General features: G+C 37.6%; 1 protein-coding gene across 7 annotated transcripts in view; it reads right to left on the bottom strand.

Annotated features, from left to right (window-relative positions):
* KMT2E (lysine methyltransferase 2E (inactive)) overlaps window positions 1-22,393 on the bottom strand; it is a 100,815-nt gene that overhangs the window by 28,163 nt on the left and 50,259 nt on the right. For all 7 annotated transcript variants that reach the window (XM_011516400.3, NM_182931.3, XM_005250493.2 and 4 more), the window contains 8 exons: window positions 20,050-20,130; window positions 13,180-13,238; window positions 12,042-12,214; window positions 10,776-10,814; window positions 9,664-9,894; window positions 9,424-9,554; window positions 7,894-8,011; window positions 5,060-5,169 (listed from right to left, as the gene is read on the bottom strand). In XM_011516400.3, coding sequence (XP_011514702.1) covers window positions 5,060-5,169; window positions 7,894-8,011; window positions 9,424-9,554; window positions 9,664-9,894; window positions 10,776-10,814; window positions 12,042-12,214; window positions 13,180-13,238; window positions 20,050-20,130 — 942 coding nt within the window. The remainder of the gene's footprint in view (window positions 1-5,059; window positions 5,170-7,893; window positions 8,012-9,423; window positions 9,555-9,663; window positions 9,895-10,775; window positions 10,815-12,041; window positions 12,215-13,179; window positions 13,239-20,049; window positions 20,131-22,393) is intronic.

Here is a 22,393-nt window from a genome sequence, read left to right as displayed (position 1 = left end):
TATATACTATATATGCTAGCTCATGTGGAGTGGTATATATATTTTATATATAATCATATTTTTATATATTATATTTATTTTATATATATTTATATTTTTAATTTATTTTATTTATATATTTTTTTATTTTTTGAGATGGAGTCTCGCTCTGTCACCCAGGCTGGAGTGCAGTGGCGCAATATTGGCTCACTGCAACCTCCACCTCCCAGGTTCAAGTGATTCTCCTGTCTCAGCCTCCTGAGTAGCTGGGATTACAGATGTGCGCCACCACACCTGGCTAATTTTTGTATTTTTAGTAGAGATGGAGTTTCATCATGTTGGCCAGGCTGGTCTCGATCTCCTGACCTCAAGTGATCCGCCCACCATGGCCTCCCACAGTGCTGGGATTACAGCCGTGAGTCATAGCAACCACCATATATTTTTAAAGTCTTAGGAGTAAAGAAGTACAGCAAGGCAATAAATTACTTAGGAAACTGGTACAAGCTTCTTAGACATTCACTCACATCTGGCAAAAACTCATGCTGTGCGCATTCTACAACCCAGCAATTCCACTCCTATGTCCCTACCATGGAGAGAACATGTACATACTATGTTCCTACCATGGAGAGGACATGTACACACATGCAGACATGTTCAGAAAGCCCTAGGAGCATTCTTTTGTCAATATAAAGGTCAATAGTGAAATGGATAAATACCATAGGCAGTGAAAATAAATGAAGTATAGGTACACACAATGCAGGTTAATCTCACGTAATAAATGTGAAAAAAATGCTAAAGAATACAGCAAGTCACAATTTACATAAAAGTTTAAAAATATACAAAATTCTAGATAATATTTGCCAACAAATACAGACATAGTAAAATGTTAAAGAAATCAAATTAAAGGGCCGGTGGTGGTGGCTCATGCCTGTAATCTCAACACTTTGGGAGGCCGAGGCGGGCGGACCATGAGGTCAGGGGATGGAGACCATCCTGGCTAACACGGTGAAACCCCATCTCTACTAAAAATACAAAAACAAAATTAGTCAGGCATGGTGGCGGGTGCCTATACTCTCCGAGGCGGGAGAATGGCATGAACCTGGGAAGCGGAGCCTGCAGTGAGCTGAAATTGTGCCACCACACTCCATCCTAGGCGACAGAGCGAGACTCCGTCTCCAAAAAAAAAAAATCAAATTAAAGATAGCAGTTAGTGAAGGAAGGAAGACAGATGCAATGTGGCTGCTAAACGTTAAGGGGCTTCAATGGATAATGTTTTAATTTCTTAATTTGAGAAGTACATGGGTGTTTGTATTATTATTTTATTTTATTTTTGAGATGTTTTGCTATTGTTGCCCAGGCTGGAGTGTAGTGGCACAATCTCAGCTCACTGCAACCTCCATCTCCCAGGTTCAAGCGATTCTCCTGACTCAGCCTCCCAAGTAGCTGGGATTACAGGCATGTGCCACCATGCCCGGCTAATTTTGTATTTTTAGTAGAGACGGGGTTTCGCCATGTTGGCCAAGCTGGTTTTGAACCCCTGACCTCAGGTGATCCACCCGCCTCAGCCTCCCAGTGTGCCTGGATTACAGGCATGAGCCACTGCACCTGGCTGGGTGTTTGTATTATTGTTTACATTTTTCTATTAAATTTTTAAAAACTGAAACAAGTTTCCATACTGCTGACCCTTGAACAACACAAGTTTGAACTGTGCACATTATAGTTATACATGGATTTTTTTCAATACATATATTGGAAACATGTTTGAAAATTTGCAACAATTGCAACAATTTGAAAAAACAGACGAACTATATAGCCTAGAAATATTAAAAAAAAAAGAAAAAGTTATGTCAAGAATGCATATGCATGTAGATAGTAGTCTATTCTATCATTTATTACCATAAAATATACACAAATTATAAAAAGTTAAAATTTATCAAAACCTATGCACACACATACAGACCTTACATGGTGCCATTCACACTCCAGTCATGTAAAGACATATTATTAAATCATAACTATTTAAAACTAACTGTAGTACATTCTGTACTACTATAATAACTTTGTAGCCACCTCCTGTTGCTATTGTGGTGCCTCAAGTGTTGGGAGTGTCTATGTAAAATGCCATGTGACACATGCCCAGGAGCAGTTCATCTCTCAGTAAATTGTGTATGGCAATAAAAAGTGATCTCTTGTGGTTCTCATGAATTCTTCATAGTCTTCAGTGCAATACAGTAATTTTTTTTTTTTTCTTGAGACAGAGTCTTGCTCTGTCACTCAGGCTGGAGTGCAGTGGTCCGATCTTGGCTCACTGCAACCTCCACTTCCCAGGTTCAAGCAATTCTTCTGCCTCAGCCTCCCGAGTAGCTGGGATTACAGGGGCCCGCCACCACGCCCGGATAATTTTTTTTATTTTTAGTAGAGATGGGGTTTCACCATGTTTGCCAGGCTGGTCTTGAACTCCTGGCCTCAAGTAATCCGCCCGCCTTGGCCTCCCAAGTGCTGGGATTACAGGTGTGAGCCACCGCACCTGGTCAATACAGTAAATTTTGAGTAACACCTATGTGACCTATACAAAGTGCCACTAGTGATGCTGGAAGTGCTCCAGAGAAGCAAAGAAGTTATCACATTGCAAGAAGAAGTTGAATTGCTAAAGATGTATGGTAGATTGAGGTGTGCAGTTGTAGTTCTCCACCATCTCAAGATAAATGAATCCAGCATAAGTACCATTGTAAAAAATAATAATAAAAGGAAATTTGTGGAGCCATCACCGCAGCTGGGCCGCAGAATGTGAAAACCATGCACTTTTTGCAATATACCTTTTTATCTTGTATTGCAAATGAAGCTTTTATGTGGGTGCATGCGTGCTATATAAGAAAGACATAGCTATAGATCCTAATATGTTTCTAGAAAAAGTGAAGTCATTAAATGATAACATAAAACAAAAGGAATATGAAAGACCTAAAATTGGAGCATTTAATGCCAGTAATGTATGGTTTGATGATTTTAAAAAGAGGTCTAGCTTAACAGGTAAAGCCACTTCTGCTGAATAAGAGGCAGCAGATGAGTTCTCAGACACCATTAAGAAAATCACTGAGGAGAAAGAGTATCTGCCTGAAAAGTCTTTTAATGCAGACACAAATGTCCTATTCTGGGGGGGGAAAGTCATAAAAAGACATTTATTAGTAAGGAAGAGAAGGAAGCACCAGGATTTAAGGCAGGAAGGGACAGATTAACTCTACTGTTTTGTGCAAATGCATTTGGGTTTATGATCAGGACTGCCCTTATCTATAAAGCTGCTAAACCCAAGCCTTGAAGGGAAAACAAACGGAAGCTGCCAGTCTTTTGGTTGTATAACAAGAAAACCTGGAGGAGAACCCTTTTTCTGGATTGGTACCATTGATGCTTTGTCCCTCAAGTCAGACAACAGGTAGCTAGGAAGGGATTGCCTTTTAAATGTCTTTTGATACTGGGCAATGCCCCTGGCCACCCAGAACCCTATGAGTTCAACACTGAGGGCATCAAAGTGTCTCTAATTCAGCCTCTAAATCAAGGAGTGATAATGGCCTTTAAGGCTCATTACACACAGTACTCTATGGAAAAGAATGTCAACACTATGGAACAGAACCCTGAAAGAGAAGATCATGAAAGTCTGGAAGGATTATACCATCGAAGATGCCATCATTATAGAAAAAGCTGTGAAAGCCATCATGCCCAAAACAATAAATTCCTGCTGGAGTGAACTGTGTCCAGATGTTGTGCATGACTTCACAGGATTTACATCAGAGCCAATCAGAAAAATCATGAAAGAGATCATGGATATAACAAAAAAAGGTGGGGATGAAGGAAGAATACAGATATGGATCTCAGAGAAATTCAAGAGCTAATAGACACCACACCAGAGAAATTAACAGAAGATGCCTAATGGAGATGATTGCTTCCAAACCAGTGCCAGATGATGAGAAAGAAGATGTAGAAAAAGCAGTGCCAAAAAACAAATTTACATTAGACAATCTGGCAGAAGGGCTCCATTGTTTTCAAGACTGATTTTTTACTTTTTTATGATATGGACTCTTCTATGATATGGGCACTGAAGCTAAAGCAAATGACGGAAGACTGGCACCATATAGAAACATTTTTAGAGAAATGAGAAAGCAAAAAAGCCAGGCAGAAATTACTAATATGTTTTCATAAAGTTACACCATATGTGCTTCCCTCTCCTGCCTCCCCTTCTACTACCCCTTCTCCCTCTGTCACCCCTGAGACAGCAAGAGCAACCCCCACCCTTCCTCCTCAGCCTACTCAACATGAAGATGAGGATGAAGACCTTTACGATAATCCACTTCCACTTAATGAACAGTAAATATATTGTATCTTCCTTATGATTTTCTTAAAAACATTTTCTTTTCTCCAGCTTACTTTATTGTAAGAATACAGTATAAGACATACAGAATATGTGTTAATTGTCATTGGTAACACTTCCAGTCAACCGTAGGCTATTAGTAAAGTTTCTGGGGAGTCAAAATGTATACGCAGATTGTGGACTGTGCAGGCAGTTGGTGCTCCAACCCCGCATTGTGCAAGGGCCAACTGTACTGAGATTTATCATTAGTTTTTTACTAGTATTTCAGAAAAATAGTTCTTAGAGTTTCTTTGTAGGATCTCCAACAAACCCTTTTAATTTATACTGCAAAGAAAATTTTCTTTTGTTTTGAGGGGCAAAAGACAAATTATTCATTCATACTGATTAACCAAATAAACTGTATGACTAAAATTATATCCCCTAGAAGAAGAAAAAAATTCTCACATAAACAAGGTCAGTGTTGTATGGCTGAATTAGGGTTACTTGTTATAATTACTGTGAACATTTACATTACAATAATAATTAAGGAAAATGTAGAAATGAAAAGTAGCAATGCTGTAATAGAGGCTGATACTAAACTTCTGGTTTTCAAGTACTTTTAACTGATTCATGATAGATAAAAATAAAAAGCTATAAAAGTAATGACAATACCTAAATTATTACAGGGACATTATGGAACTATTTTCAAACAACAGATTACATTTATAGACTTGAACTCACCAATTTCCATAGTCAAAATCAAAGGCAATAGTAATTTCAGTTCCCTTTGGAATACTGTGTATAGAATAAATATAAAGATGTATGGTTCCATCTTGAATTTCATGCCTCACCTAAAAGTTAAAATAATTGTACATTACCATAAATTACTTTCTGCCTTCAGAAGCATCAGCTTACAATTTTGAAAATTATTCTTTTCAAATTATTTCACAAACACAACCTGGAAAATATGTCATTAATGACAAGGCTTATAACTATCTATTGGTGGTTATCAACTGGGAAGGTTTTTCAATCATATACTGCTATCCACTGCCACCCCAACCCCTAGAGCCCACAATGTGGCATCAAAATAATAATAATAATAATAATAATAATAAAAATACTATATTTCATCAATTCTTCTTATTTTTATTTTTTTGAGACGAGTCTCACACTTTCGCCCAGGCTGGAGTGCAGTGGTGCGATCTCGGCTCACTGCAAGCTCCGCCTCCCAGGTTCACGCCATTCTCCTGCCTCAGCCTCCCGAGTAGCTGGAACTACAGGCACCTGCCACCATGCCCGGCTTATTTTTTTTTGTATTTTTAGTAGAGACGAGTTTTCACAGTGTTAGCCAGGATGGTCTCAATCTCCTGACCTCATGATGTGCCGGCCTCGGCCTCCCCAAGTGCTGGGATTACAGGCGTGAGCCACCGCACCCAGCCTCATCAATTCTTTTTTTTCACCTTTTAGCATCTCTGAAATCAGGAGTCTTATAACTGGTGGCATCTTAGGGTTTTTTGTTGTTGCTGTTGTTGTTTTGAGACAGAGTCTCACTCTGCCATCCAGGCTGGAGTGCAATGATGCAATCTTGGCTCACTGCAACCCCAACCTCTCAGATTCAAGTGATTCTCCTGTCTCAGCCTCCCAAGTAGCTGGGACTACAGGTGCGTGCCACCACACCTGGCTAATTTTTAGTAGGGATGGGGTTTCACCATGTTGGTCAGGCTGGTCTTGAACTCCTGACCTCAGGTGATCCACCCACTTTGGCCTCCCAAAGTGCTGGGATTACAGGTGTGAGCCACTGTGCCTGGCCTTCTTAGGTTTGATGAGTGCAATAATGGTTGAGCAAACGCTACTTTTCTATGACAAGACACTATTCTATATACTTTATATGTATTAACTCCTTCAGTCTTCATATCACCTTTTTACAGATAAAACTGAGGTTAAAAAGCTAGTAAGTCACAGAGAAGAAATAAATTTAAGTCTGGTTCCAAAATCTGTACTCTTAGCTGGGTGCAGCAGCGCATGCCTATAATCCCAGCTACTCTGGCGGCTGAAGCAGAACAAACACTTGAGCCCAGGAGTTCCAGGCCAGCCTGGGCAACATGGCAAGATCCTGTCTTTTAAAAAAAGAAAAGAGAGGAAAAAAAAAAAACACCTACATTCTTGGCTGCAACATTATATAATTACAAAACTAAAAAGCTTCATTTTGACATGTAAAAAACAAAACCAACACGATTTTCTACTCCACACTAAAATATAACATTATTAAAAATTTTACAGTAGAACATACAAAATCTACTTTAGATTTTAGCTTTGTCATCTAACTTAAATCATCGCATGTATTGAGCCATAAATAGAGCTTCCAAGATAGAAGGAAAGTCGTCCAGTATTAGGCTGGACCTGGTGGCTCATGCCTGTAATCCTAGCATTTAGGGAGGCCGAGGCAGGAGGATTGCTTGAACACAGGAGCTCCAGACCAGTCTGGACAACATAGGGAGAACCCAACTCTACAAAAAATTAAAGAATCATTAGTTGGGCATGGTGGCACGCACCTGTGGTCCCAGCTACTCAGAAGTCTGAGGTGAGAAGATAACTTTACCTCCTAAAGGCCCAGGAAGTTGAGGCTCCAGTGAGCCATGATTGCACCTCTGCACTCCAGCCTAGGCAAGACCCTGCCTCAAAAATAATAATAATAATAATAATAATAATGATTTAAAAAGTCCGGGCAGGCTCATGCCTGTAATCCCAGCCCTTTGGGAGGCTAAGGCAGAAGGATCACTTGGCCCAGGAGTTGGAGACCAGCCTGGGCAGCAAAATGAGACTCCATCTCTGCAAAAATTTAAAAAATTAGCTGGGCATGGTTGCACACGCCTGCAGTCCCACCTACTCAGAAAGCTGAGACAGGAGGATCACTTGAGCATGAGAGGTCACGGAGGCTGTAGTGAGCTGTGCTCATGACACCACACTCCAGCCTGGGAGACAGTGAGACACTGCCTCAAAAAAAAAAAAAAAAAAAAAAAAAAAAAAGGAAGTCCAATATTTCCTCTTATAAGGAGCATCATCATTTCTTCAAGGTGCAAAGTAATTTTTAAGACTTCATAGCGGCCAGGCATGGTGGCTTACACTCGTAATCCCAGCATTTTGGGAGGCTGAGATGGGCAAATCACCTGAGGTCCGGAGTTCGAGACCAGCCTGGTCAAAATGGTGAAACCCCGTCCCTACTAAAAATGCAAAAAAATAGCCGGGCATGGTGGTGCGTGCCTGTAATCCCACCTATTCGGGAGGCTGAGGCATGAGAATCACTTGAGCCCGGAAGACGGAGGTTACATGAGCTGAGATCGTGCCATTGTATTCCAGCCTGGGCAACAAGAGTGAAACTCCGTCTCAAAAAAAAAAAAAAAAGACTTCATAGCCAGTTATCACATAAATTTTCACAAAAAAACAGGCTGGGCAGTATAAAATGCACCAACAGGTGGAAAGTGTCTTAGGTCAGTGACCTGAGTTTTGTGCTTATTGCTCAGATTCCAACACACCCCCAGCACCCACATCTCCCCAAAAAATTTCTATAAGCTTACCTCTGCATTGGGTGTACAAGACCGCCTGATGAATCGAGCCTCATTCCCAAAAGTCCTTGCATCAACACACATTTCTAGCCCATGAAATTTAGAGTAGAATAACACAAAAGGGTATGGTCTACAAAGAAAGAAACATTATAAGCTATTAACATTTTAGGCCGGGCATGCTGGTTCACACCTGTAATTCCAGCACTTTGGGAGGCCGAGGCAGGTGGATTGCTTGAGTCCAGGAGATCAAGACCAACCTGGGCAACATGGCGACACTCCGTATTTACAAAAAAAAAAAAAAAAAAAAAAAAAAAAAAAGGCCAGGCATGGTAGCATGTGCCTGTAGTCCCAGCTACCTGGGAAGCTGAGGTGGGAGGATCACCTGAGCCCAGGACATCAAGGCTGCAGTGAGCCATGATCATGCCTCACTGATAGAGCGAGACTGTCTCAAAAACAAACAAACAAACAAAAGTCAACATTTTAGGACAATAATCTGTTACTCTTCAGAGGCAAAGTGATGAAGAAACTTAAGAACACAGAGTCTAAGAAACTTCTAAAAGACATAGTGAAGCCAAGATTTGAATATAGGCAGTCTGACTCCACAATTCACTCTTATCTTATGCTAGTTTATGCTAATGAGATTTTTACCTGCCCCATAACCTCACCTAAATCAAAGGCAATTAATGGAAGGTAGAAATTCCAATTTACAAAGAAAGATAAAAAGAGAGTGACTACTGCATTCACAAGATTAATTTGATGTCTTTAGAGTTCACATTTCCTGGTGCATTTAAAAGTATCTGTCTTATACCGTTTCAGATCAAATCTGCTACATAATAGGGAGAAATTGCTGTGTATCTTTCATATCTTAAGTAAATATTCAAGTTATAAACAATAAATGTTTTTGATAATTGTAGGACACAGACTAGGAATGTTCTCCTACAGATATGAACATACTTCTAGACTACAGGGAAGCAACGCCTATCAAAGGGTCATATTAATTCTGCATACAAATCTCAAACCAAAGAAGAGACCTCCAATACCATTCCAATACCAACAAAGTGGGTGTTGAAAGTGGTGGCAATAATGTAGGACCCAATCTAACACTGTCTAATAAAGAGGAAGGGGTTTCTCCTATGGTTACCATGGTCTTTCTCCATTCCGGCTATTACGTTATGAGGAATTATCATGAGTCCCAGATGGAAAGGGTTCCTTGTAATCTCAATCAATCAGAATTCCTGACTGATATCCTTCTATATCCAACCTATATTGCTGTTGGTTAATCTTTGAAGTAGATTGTTTTAGGATTTTCAGCAAGACAGACATGAGCAAGAGACCGGAATATATCTTTGCATTTTTTTATGTTGTTTTAGTTTATCGTAGTTCAAAAATTATCATCAGTCACTGTTCAACCACACTACAGCTTTAAATACTGAAATGATCATGTAGGAAAAAAAGTACATATAATCACAACATCTAGGTAAAACAGCCAAAAGTTCAATATTTACCTACAGAAAATGAACATGGGAAAATAAATGAATATACCTTTTAAAGAAATACCCATTTGCTTCAAACTGTTCTCTCAGCATAAACTTCCCTCTGTATTCAATGATAAGTGCATCAGGAGGCAAATCTTTTGCAGATTTAAGAATTTTCTTATTCTTTTGTATATGGCTCTAAAATCAGAGTAAATGTTGAGATTAAATAAACTTGCTTGTTTTCAGTTTAACTAAAAATTCACAATATAAAACTGCTTTACAATTTTTGGACAAATGATGTATTTACCTCTACAGGAGGTTTGAAGAGCAAATTGTTGGTATTCAAATCGGATTTATTCATCTCTTTTTTGTCATTTCCATTGCCTAATCTCAGAGCTATTCTTTGTGCCTCCCTCTGAACACCCTCACTGTACTGGTTGTTATTTGCTTCTTCATATCGATCCATCCATGCTTTGATCTTTGTCTCCCATCCAAAATTTGAACCATCAGATGAAGGATCAATCTCTGGAGCTGAACCCTAAAATCATAAACTGAGCTTTAGTATCTGGACTTACGGACTTACACACACACACACACACACACACACACACACACACACACACACACAAAATTAACGGCAATCTATACAAAAGAACATAATATAAACTAGAAACTGCTGTTTAACGGTTTCTTTTCCAGAAATGTGGAATAATAAATACCACAGGGACAAAAGATACACTGTAACATGCTCCCCACATCCTATTTAATGTGACAATTTTAGAAATTTGTTATCCTTTTCTACCTAAGCCAGAAAACTATAGTAACAGCATACAGCTGACCTCTGTGACCCCAGACAAACTTATGTTTTGGGGTCAGACAGAGGCGAGGAGCCTCGCTTCTCTCAGCAATTTTAGCATCTAAAAAAGTGAGGACATACATTAATTAATTCAAGATACTTTTTAGCTACCATCGATCATTCTGACTGGTTTGTATTGATATGGTTGTTCTATGGTGAATTTATAGTATGACAACTGACTTGACTAACTCTCTAGAATCCCAACTATGCAAAAGTGCAAATTTTCAAGTTCCAAATGTGATTCTGCATTCCTAAGTACAGTATAGTAATACTAACTGGCATCAGAGACATGGATTATAGTAATAAAGGAAATTCAAATTGCCCAAAATTATAAAATTAGAAATTGCTTATATACCTCCCCCTTTTGATTAATATTTTAACAGTGTTAACTACAAGAGTAGTATATTACTCCAATTAGAACTAAGGTCCCACTCCTGGTAAAGATAATAGGCAAAGACATGACACACAATAAACAGAGCATTAAGTAAAGATATGGTCAAGCAAGCATGTAGCTCCTGAATAAATGACAGTTGATAACAACACCTTAAAATTAATGTATTTACCTTAACTCTTGATGACTTCCTAGATCCTTCACGAAATGCCTAAAATAAACATGGAATTCTAGTTAGTTTCCTAAAAAACTGGACATAATTAATATTTAAGAATTAATTGGTTCATTGAAACTTTTAACTGAAGTGTCATAACAAAAAATTTGGTAACCAAGAAAGCTGACACTAGGAGAATGTTTAATAAAGGCATCTATTAAAATACTTTTCTAATAAAAACAGAATGTGGTTGAGAGTGGTGGCGGGCACCTGTCGTCCCAGCTACTCAGGAGACTGAGGCAGGAGGATCAACTGGAGCCCAGGAGTTGGAGGCCATAGTGCACCATGCCAGTCTATGAATACCCACTGCACTCCAGCCTGGGCAACATAGCAAGATCCTGTCTTTAAAAAAAAAAAAGTATATAGACTATATAGAATATAAAAATCTGTATATAATATAATACAAAGACAAAAATTTCCAAATATTCTCTGTGTTCAATATTACAACAGTGGAAAAATATTTCTGATAAAAATTGGGAGGGTGTTAGACATATAATTTTGTTGAAGTGATAAGACATGTTTTGGGAGGGAGTAAAATAATGATATTACTTTAATTCTCTAAGCAACTAGCAAGTAATATTTGAGCCCATAATGGGCCTTAAGTAATATGCACTGTGGTAAACAGAGCTGTATTTACTCAATAAACATGTATCGAGAGCCCACTCATCTGCCAGATCTGAAGGATGTATTTAAGACTTAATTCCTATCCCCCTCAACCCCCTAAAAAGTGTGAACTCCATTTAGAGTGACTAACAAATACAAACCTACAGCTAGCAATATAGATCCAAATAAATAAATTTGTGTGTAGACAATACGTTACAAGAGAGCAAGGTTTAAAAAAAAAAAAAAAAGGAGGCAAAGAACCGTTATGTAAAACATGGGGAAGAAAAGCTAAGTGGATTATGTCAGACAGACAAGTGAAAGGAATACAATCCTGGTAGTACAGAAAACTATGAAGGCTTTCTATTTTATTTTTGCTTCTGCATTATAGTGACTAATCTCATTAAATGATTTCAAAGCAGTTTGCAAAGTTTCTTCTCTAATCTGCTTCAATCTTTAAAACACGTTAAAATGTTCAAGTAAGTTTAATTGTTTAAAAATAAAAAACTTCTGCTAGATCCTTTTTAGCTATCATCGATTATTCTCACTCTCCTGCCTCTCCTATAAAATTCAGTTCCCTATCCGCTATCCTATCCACTCACCTAAAAACAAGCAAAAACGTACCTTTTTACATTTTGAAATGTGTTGTTCTTTCTCCCCGCTTTTTTTCCTTCTTTTATCATTAACTTTGGAAACTCTTGAAGCAGTTAAAGTAATTGATGTTGGAGTATGCTGAAATGCAGTATATAATTCCACAGGAACCTCATCACCACTCTCAGTTGCACTGGTATCACCATCTTCAGACAAAATAAAAATTATTGCACATTTAATACTTCTATTTTAAACAATGAAATAAAACAGCATTCCATATGACAAAGTATTGTCGTCTCCATCTTTCTAAATAAGCACATTTTTTAACTTGTTCACTCACCTCACTTACACATTTACATGCAAAGCACAAATATGATTTCTCACACATTAAACTAGAAAGGATCCAAAAGCCTGATAACACACTCTGGTGGTGTGCCTGTGGGAAACAGCACTCTCATACACTACGAGTGGAAATTTGAAATTCCCTACAAAGGACAATTCAGCCATATCTAGCAAAATTATATATGTACATACCTTCTGACCCAGCCATCTCATTATTAGAGATCTAGCCAAAGATAAAACAGCAAAAGTACAAAAAGACTTATGCAAGAGGGTCTTGCTGAGGATACTGTTTTTAATAACAAAAATAAAACAAAGCAGAAATAATGAAAACAATCCAAATCTCCATCAAAGAGGAATAGTTGAATAAATTATGATTATTTAAAACCAGGAGTACTGGTATCAACATGATTAAGATAAAATAAAAATTGTGGCATATGTTACACAGAAGTTAGAAAATTCTGTTCCTATAAATAAAAGATGTACTATTCTACATGATAAACTAATGGATCATATCTTTCTGAAGAACAAACATATTTTACTTTTTTAAACCAACAGGTTAGCTATGTGTAGGAAAATTATGGCTGATTTAAATTATTTATTTTCCTCTCATTTCCATTTTATTTCCCAAAGTACATATTTATTCTATAATACGTGAAAAAAAAAATACTTGAAATCTATACCAGAGATTGCATACTCTCTGTACAATCAACATTCATCAACAAGGTATTTACATTTAACTAAAAATATTTACATTTAACTAAAAGTTGAGAGAACCGTTTATTCTCTCAATCACACGAATTTTAATTTAGTGTAGGTCCTTTTTACCTACCTGACATATTTTCCCTTTTCCGGCGTTGTAGTAGCACTGCCCTCTCTTTATCCAAATTCCTACATTAAAAAATTAGCATAATTATTTATCAAATACATGAAGCAGATCTGTCTTAAATGTGATAAACTTTTTAATTTATTTAATGTTCTCAGTGAAAAACCAACAGTATAAAATATATACAAAATCCCTTGCAATACAGTTTACATACAATCTAATAGTAGCAGTAGATGCCAGATAGATGACTCCATTTCACTCTGATTTTTTTTTTTTTTTTTTTTCCCCAGACAGGGTCTCACCCTATCACCCAGGCTGGAGTGCAGTGATGCAATCACAGTTTGCTGCAGCCTCAACCTTCCAGGTTCAAGGGATCCTCCTGCCTCAGCCTCCTGAGTAGCTGAGACTACAGGCCTGCACCATCATGCCGGGCTAATTTTTTAATTTTTTGTAGAGATGGGTTACCCAGGCTGGTCTTGAACTCCTGGATCAAGTGATCCTCCCACCCCTGCCTCCCAAAGAGCTGGGATCACAGATGTGAGCCACAGTGAATGGCCAAGAAAATAATTTACTTAGGAAACCAGTATTTTTTTCAAACAGAATATTTAAAGCAAAAAGTCTGAAAAAAAAAAACCCATAATGTTAACATGTAATTAAAATCATAAATTAAATTTCTTAAAGCAAATGTATGACACTGAATTGAATCTATTCCATTATTACCATTGCCTTTAATTATTTTCACTTTTGAAATAAATACTGCTTTTTTTTTGAGATGGAGTTTCGCTCTTATTGCCCAGGCTGGAGTGCAATGGCGCAATCTTGGCTCACTGCAACCTCTGCCTCCTGGGTTCAAGCGATTCCCTGCCTCAGCCTCCCAAGTAGCTGGGGTTCCGGGCATGTGCTACCACACCTGGCTAATTTTGTATTTATAGTAGAGACGGGGTTTCTCCATGTTGGTCAGGCTGGTCTCAAACTCCTGGCCTAAGGTGATCTGCCCACCTCGGCCTCCCAAAGTGCTGGGATTATAGGCATGAGCATTTAACAGTTAAGTGAAATACTTCATTACCCACTCCCTACCTCTACCCATGAACTACATCATCCATAGTAATTCTTTTACATTCCCCCCCAACTTTTTCACTGTATATAGTTTAGAGGTCAGATAACATATTATTCTCAGGTGGGAAAATAAGAGCTCTAGATTATTAGAATTTCTACAGACTTGCCTTAATGTCTACCAGGAAATATATTTATTCTAGCATCACAGATAATTATCCTAGCTATCACAGAATAATAAACATATCTCTCTCAACTAACTGCCCTCCTAATGGTAAGTTTTTTTGTTTTTTGTTTTGTTTTTTGAGACGGAGTCTCGCTCTGTTGCCCAGGCTGCCAAGCTGGAGTTCCGTGGTGCGACCTTGGCTCACTGCAAGCTCCAACTCCCAGGTTCATGCCATTCTGCCGCCTAAGCCTCCCAAGTAGCTGGGACGACAGGCGCCCGCCACCACACCTGGCTAACTCTTGTTTTTGTATTTTTAGTAGAGACAGGGTTTCACCATGTTAGCCAGGATGGTCTCAATCTTCTGACCTCATGATCCACCCGCCTGGGCCTCCCCCAAAGTGCTGGGATTACAGGTGTGAGCCACCGCGCCCGGCCTCCTAATGGTAACTTTTTAACCAACTTTTACTGAATTCATCATCAGATATTTACCCCATCAAAAATTATCTGGCAAAAGACTACTATCAAAGGGAAACAAAACCACATAGAGACACCTCACTCAAAGTAAGAGAAATGCACACCATAACTATGCTGAGATTACCATTTCTCACCTAATTAAACTGGCAAAAATGCAAGTCTGTCAAACACTCTGTTGTGAGGCTTGGGAAAGTGGGCATGCTTATCCATTACTGTTTGGAATTCAAAACTGCAGGCCGGGCGTGGTGGCCCACGCCTGTAATCTCAGCACTCTGGGAGGCCGAGGCAGGCAGATCACGAGGTCAGGAGATTGAGACCATCCTGGCCAAGATGGTGAAACCCTGTTCTCTACTTAAAAAAAAAAAAAAAAAAAAAAAAAAAATATATATATATATATATATATATATACACACACACATACATACATACATACATACACACACACATACACACACAAATTAGCAGGGTGTGGTGGCTCATGCCTGTGGTCCAGCTACTCGGCAGGCTGAGGCATGACAATGGCTTGAACCCAGGAGGCGGAGGTTGCAGTGAGCCGAGATCGTACCACTGCACTGCAGCCTGGTGACACAGCAACACTCCATTTCAAAAAAAACAAAAACAAAAAACAACAACAAAAAAACAGCACAGCTCCTGCTGGAAGGAAATTTGACAATCTAACAAAATTTTATATATACATTTATCACTATACTGAACAATCTCACTTCTATCTATAATAACAAAAGAACCAAAACAACTCTAGTGTCCATACAAAGGCAACTAGTTGAATAGAGTACAAAAAAAGATACAGTACATTGAAGCTCTATCAGTCAATGTCTACATACTACTGTGATCTTCAGCATATATTTTTAAGAGAAAAGAAATGTGAAGACTCTATAATATGCTACTGCTTACCTAAATAAGGAAGGAAATACAAATATATAGATACATATCTACATATAATAAGCAAGCAGGGATGAGTTAGACTTAACTTGCTTTATATATTTGTCTACCTTGCTTTACATATTTGACTTTAGAGTGACAGAATACTTTCCTTTATATATTTGACTTCAAGTCTAACTTGCTTTATATTTGAGTTTAGAATGATAGAATACTTCTTACATAATTATAAAGTATATAATTATAAAGGTAAATAAAATACAAAAAACAATTCTGTTTTTGAGACAGGGTCTCCCTCTGTTGCCCAGGCTGGAGTGCAGTGGCACAATCATAACTCACTGCAGCCTCAACCTCCCGGGCTCAAGCAATCCTCCTGCCTCAGCCCCCCAAAGAGCTGGGACCACAGACACATACCATCTTATCCAGCTAATCTTTGCTTTTTTTTTTTTTTTTTTTTTTTTGAGACACAGTCCCGCTCTCTCACACAGGCGGAGTGCAGCTGTGTGATCTCAGCTCACTGCAACCTCTGCCTCCCAGGTTCAAGCAATTCTCATGCCTCAGCCTCCTGAGTAGCTGGGATTACAAGCACCTGCCACCATGCCCGGCTAATTTTTGTATTTTTTTTGGTAGCAATGGTGCCTTGCCATGTTGCCTAGGCTGGTCTCAAACTCCTGACCTCAAGTGATCCACCCGCCTCAGCCTCCAAAAGTGCTAGGATTATAGCTGTGAGCCACTGCGCCCAACCAACAATTCTTAAAAAACAAAAATTACTGATTACTTCTACATTTCTGGTAGGAATATAAAATCGAATAGCCATTCCGGAAAATAGTCTGACAATATCATAAATATCTAAACATGCAACTACCATATAATCAAGCTGCTGTTCTCTTGGGCATTTAACCCAGAGAGGGGGAAAAACAACTTAGGTTCACACAAAAACCTGTAAACAAATGTTCACAGAAACTTTATTTGTAATAGCCAAAAAAGTAGAAACAACCCAAATGGTCTTCAATGGGTGAATAGGTTAAAGAAACTATGGTACATATATACCATGAAATACTATCAGCAATAAGAAACAAAATCATGATACATCCAACAAATTGGAGGGCTCTCTAGGGAATCACGCTGGATAAAAAAGTCAATGCCAAAAGGTCACATACTGGGTCAAATGAAGTCATAAATGTATGACTTCATTTATGGAACATTCTTGAAATGACAAAATTATAGAAATCGATTACAGAATAACAGTTGGCCAAGTTCAGGGGTAGAAGGTGGGTATGACTATAAAGGGTAGCATGACTCCTGGCAGTGACAGGAATGTTCTATAGAGTGACTGTGTTAATGCCAATATCCTAGTTGTGATATTGTATTAATAGTTATGCAAGATGTTAACACTGGGGCAAAACAGGTAAAAGATATCTAGGCTCACTCTACATTATTTCACAACTGCATGTGAATCTACAACTCAGAACATTTAATTTTTTAAAAATCAATAAAATTAATGACCTAAACAACATAAGTGTGTATCCAGTTGGTGTTATAAACACACAATTATTTCAAGAGACTTAAAACACAATATTGACCATAAAACCCTCGTACACTATGCCCTATGGGGGGAAAGTTCTAAACTGTTTTACACAATCATATTGTTGGTGCTAGTGTTGCTGGTGTTGTTACTCCAAGACTATTATATTCTTGTGTAGGATTAAACAGTTAACCAATTGTGAGATATTCTAATTACATTATTCTCTGTATTGTTGACAACTAGAATAAAAGGAGATAAACATGAAACAGCTACATAAAAACTTGTATTCCTAAATTTCAATTGCAATTATCGGTATAAACTCATGTATTTTATCTTAAAGAAACAGATGAAACATACTTCCTAGCTTTGTCTACTAAAAAGACTAGGAACAGTGACCAATCTAGTAGGAAAGGGCATGACTAGCTCTCCAATTCTGGTCTTGAAAGCCAACTCTGAATTTGGGGCACAGAAGTGCAGGATAAGCCTGAGACATCTTGTCACACCAGATATCTTCTTTGCCATGAAGTACCACTAGGGTGTTGTTTAAAGGACTTGATAACCAGCTTGAAGAGGTTCCTACTGACCAGAAATGGAATGAAATTTAAGCATCAATAAGGGTAATAACTGCAAGAGACTGACATCCACTATGGTTTAAATCCATGAGGTCACAATGATACTTAATTTTTCATTATTCTGAAAACCAGTAAATAAAGGCTAAGATTCAACAAGCATTTATCCAGCCTTTCCTCAATGAAATATATCTTAAGAGAACCGAATAGTTAACATAGAGACATGGCCGGGCAAGGTGGCTCTCGCCTGTAATCCCAACACTTTGGGAGGCCGAGGTGGGAAGATTGCTTGAGCCCAAGAGTTCTAGACCAGCCTGGACAACATGGTGAAACCCTGTGCCTACAAAAAAAAAAAAAAAACAAAAAAAAAAAAAACCACAACTAGTCAGGCATGGTGGCGATGCCTGTAGTCCCAGCTACTTGGCAAGCTGAGGTGGAAGGATGGGAGAATCACCTGAACCCAGGAGGCTGAGGCTGCAGTGAGCTGTGGTCACACGTAGCCTGTTCGACAATGTGAGATCCTGTCTTAAAAAAAAAAAAGAGAAGTTTGTTCCAATAAAAATATTCCAGCTGATAAGTAATGAACAACAGAATTAACATATCACTAATTTGCAACCCCTAATAAATTAGTGGATCTAAGGACTATCACTGGCTTCCATCATAAGACAACCAGAAATCATGTGCCACCTGATAAGACAAAACAGTCTAACTATGAAAATAGTCTTATTAAAAAAAAAAAGAAATTGAACCTAAATCTGATCAAGCCTATAGACATAAACACCTTCTTACAGAAATAGAACAGGGAAACTTGTGAAATCATGGGAATACAACTGGCAAAACTCATCAGGACAAACAGCTGAGTTCCCTAAACATGCACACTGTAATGGTAACCAGGGATGGTAGGGAGGGAGGAGTAGGTTTAGGAACTTGAGAGATGAATATCAACCAATCAATATCATAACAATGGCTGGGTGAGCCAGAGATTTTGTTCCATGTACAATAATGGCTTTGCGGTTTTTTGTTTTTTTGAAACAGGCTCTCACTCTGTCATCTAAGCTGGGGCACAGTGGCATGACCATGCCTCACTGCAGCCTCGAACTCACAGGCTCAGGCTATCCTCCCACCTCAGCCTCCCAAGCAGCTAGGACTACAGATGTGTGACACCACGCCTGGCTCATCTTCTGTATTTTTAGGAGAGACAGGGTTTCACCATGTTTCCCAAGCTGGTCTCGAACTCCTGGGCTCTCATGATCTACCTACCTCGGCCTCCCAAAGTGCTGGGATTACAGGCCTGAGCCACCTTGCCCAGACGGTTTGTAATTATTTTTGTAAAAAGAATTGACAGACATATTCTGAAATATATATACACACAAATACATATATACTGAAATATACATGGATGAAATAATACGATATCTGGGATTTGCCTTAAAACAACATGTAAAGGGAGAAGAAACACATGGCAGTATAGATGGGACAAGAATGTCGATAATTACTGAGGTAGGGTGGTGGAAATGTGAGTTTATTATGTATTATTTTATTTTTACGTAAGTTTGAAATGTCCATAATAAAAAGATTTTAAAAAACAAAAAAGAAATGTGGAAAAAAAAATTACAAACAAGAAGAATGATAGATCTACTAAATTCTTTAACTAAGGGAGTATTCATCTAGTAACTCTTTAATATAGCGCATTCCAGTTAAAAAAGATGCCATCAGGTAGAAGATGCACTATTATTTTATGCATCATTAATAAAGTAAAAACCCTATAAACTATGACACACTATTGATAGATATTTTCCTGATTTTAGAGTTGTCAGAATACAAAAATAATAGTAAGAATACACATAAAAATGGAAAAGCGTATGTTAGAATCGATGAAACACAGTGATCCATTAATTCTCCTTTTTTCTTTTTCTTTTTTTTTTTTTTTTTTAAAAAAAAAAGAGACTGGGTTTTGCTCTGTCACCCAGGCTGGAGTGCAGTGGCACAATCAAAGCTCACTGCAGCCTCAAACTCCTGTGCTCAAGCAATCTTCCTGCCTCAGCCTCCCAAGTAGTTGGCACTACAGGCATGAGCCACCATGCCCGGCTGTGATTCATTAATTTTTTAACTCGAATTCATAAAGGAATTTCTGTTAACTAGTATTACCTCAGTAAAATTACTGGCAATGTTATCAGATATGTGCAACTTACCTAGGCTGACAACGTTCACATAGATATGTATCAGGAATATGCTGCCTATCAATCCCCATGCAGTCAATATGTTGCCAAACGCTTAAAAAAAAAAAAGCAGAACATATGTAATATTATTTAAGTCATCCTTAAATTAAGATTTGATATTCCATTTAACTATCATTTAATAAGCACCTACTTTGAGCTTAGTACTCCTAAAAGGTACTCTGAGAAATTCATAGAAACGTGTCTTCAAGGCGATAAAATTTTGAGATGCAAAAGCAAGAGGATAAATATAGGATACATAAATTTTTAAAGCAGATACAATTTTAAAATATAAAATGTATAATTTATTCTACAAATATTATTAGAAATCACAATGTAGAGACGGCCACACTATTTGTAATTAATGAGAAAAGCACCTTGGAGAATAATGAACTTGACTCGAACCTCGTTTGGGAAATAGTAAGCTATCAGTGTAGCAACATTTATCAAATATCATTTATCAGATATGAAGAGAAAGTGGCCACAAGGCGCTCAACATATATGAAGAGAAATATTCATTTTGAGAAATAGAAGGAGGTTAAAATTGGATTAATGAAGTACAGTCAGATTACTTAGGACTTGGAATGTGCAGACATGTGTAAATTTCCTCTGTCAACAGGTAACAATTTTTTACAGGTGCTTTGGTGGCATGTAGTATTAATTCAAAGAAGAAACTGCAAGCAGAAAGACCAACTAAAGAGGCATTTCCAACATTCCACACTTGAGTTAAAGGAGGGCAGAACCAGAATTAACGCCAGAGAAAAATAAGTTAAAGAATGTAAGAGGCATTCTATGAGGACAGAGATTAAACCTAATTACTTTTAATAGAATACATGGACCAGTTTGAGGCAAATTTCTCAATTTGTTACTATTGTATTTTATTGCCAAGACTAATTTGTCTGAAGTTGATATATATGCCTGACTCCAAAAAGTCTTAGTTATTCCTTACATAAGAATAAACTACTTCTAATATATAACTACAGTAGCTTCCCCCTTATCCATGGTTTGCTTTTCGTGGTTTCATTTACCTGTGTTCAACCACAGTCTGAAAATATTAAGATATTTTCAGGAAGAGGGAGAGAGGGGGGCAGAAGGAAAGAGAGAGGAGACAAAGACCACATTTACTTCTATTACAGTATGCTGTTACAATTGTTGTTAAGCTCTTACTGCATCTACTTTATAAATTAAACTTTATCATAGGTATTTATGTATAGGAAAAAACAAAGTACTGTAGGGTTCAGTACTCTCTGCAGTTTCAGGCATCTACTGGGCGTCTTGGAACATATACCCCAGGGAAAGGAGGGACTACTGTACCAAACTAACTGCTACTGTGTTGTTCTTTACTTTTCAACTGAGAATGTTGGGGCAAGAACTGACAGAATGTGAAATATATATCAAAGTGGAAAAAAGATGTGAAAAAGAAAAGTAGCACAAATGACAAGGGTTAGAATAACAAATTAAACTAAATTTGTGGGGCAAGTAATGATGTCATGCAGACAACAGAAGAAACAAAGCTAGAATATGAATAAATAATCAGAGCTGTGGATGTCAGACTTCAAAGAGATGAGTATAAGTAGTAGGAACATGTAAAAATAATGAGCCAACGTAAAGTTAGAATAGAGCCTTCCAGGAGACTACAGGCTGAGCAACAGAAAAACAGAGTAACAAATATTAGAGTCATAACAAAAAGTACTCTCTGAGAAGCAAATAACTTGAATAATCCAAAAACTGTGAACTGGTCCTTCAATAATTTGTAGATGGATATAAAAACTCCTAAGGACAATTTTACTATTCTCTAATAGAGATAACTGTATCTTATATATAGACCATCGCCGTTATATCAAAAGAAGAACACTGCTAAGATTATGTATTAAAATAAAAATTACATACCAAAGTATGTAATTTATCACATTAGACAAAATCAGCCAAGAGAAAGCTTTTCTATATGACTGGCTACAATATGATTTGACATTTTCTACTATGAGGAAAGCAAAGTGTCACTGTATTTTTAGTTTTTTAATTTACCTCCTAAATAAATTTACTGAAGTCATTATTCATGGTAGAATGTATTACAGGTTATGAAAGTTTATTTTTACATTTGGAAAGGTACTACAATATGTTTTTATTATTAAGATAAACTCAGTGTTAATATTACAACTTTCCATAAAAATATCAAATTTTACATTCCACTTAATATTTGAATTTCTCATTTTTTGGCAAGAGTAAACAAACTTTTTGAAACATAATGCTAACTGCATGTTTGTATCAATAATATTCAACTCCTAATCACCTAATCTAATAGATGGGGATAATATTACAA

Source organism: Homo sapiens, chromosome 7, assembly GCF_000001405.40.
Source record: "Homo sapiens chromosome 7, GRCh38.p14 Primary Assembly".
NCBI lineage: Eukaryota > Metazoa > Chordata > Mammalia > Primates > Hominidae > Homo > Homo sapiens.
Note: the sequence above shows the minus strand (reverse complement) of the source record. Positions and strands in the feature narration are given on the sequence as shown.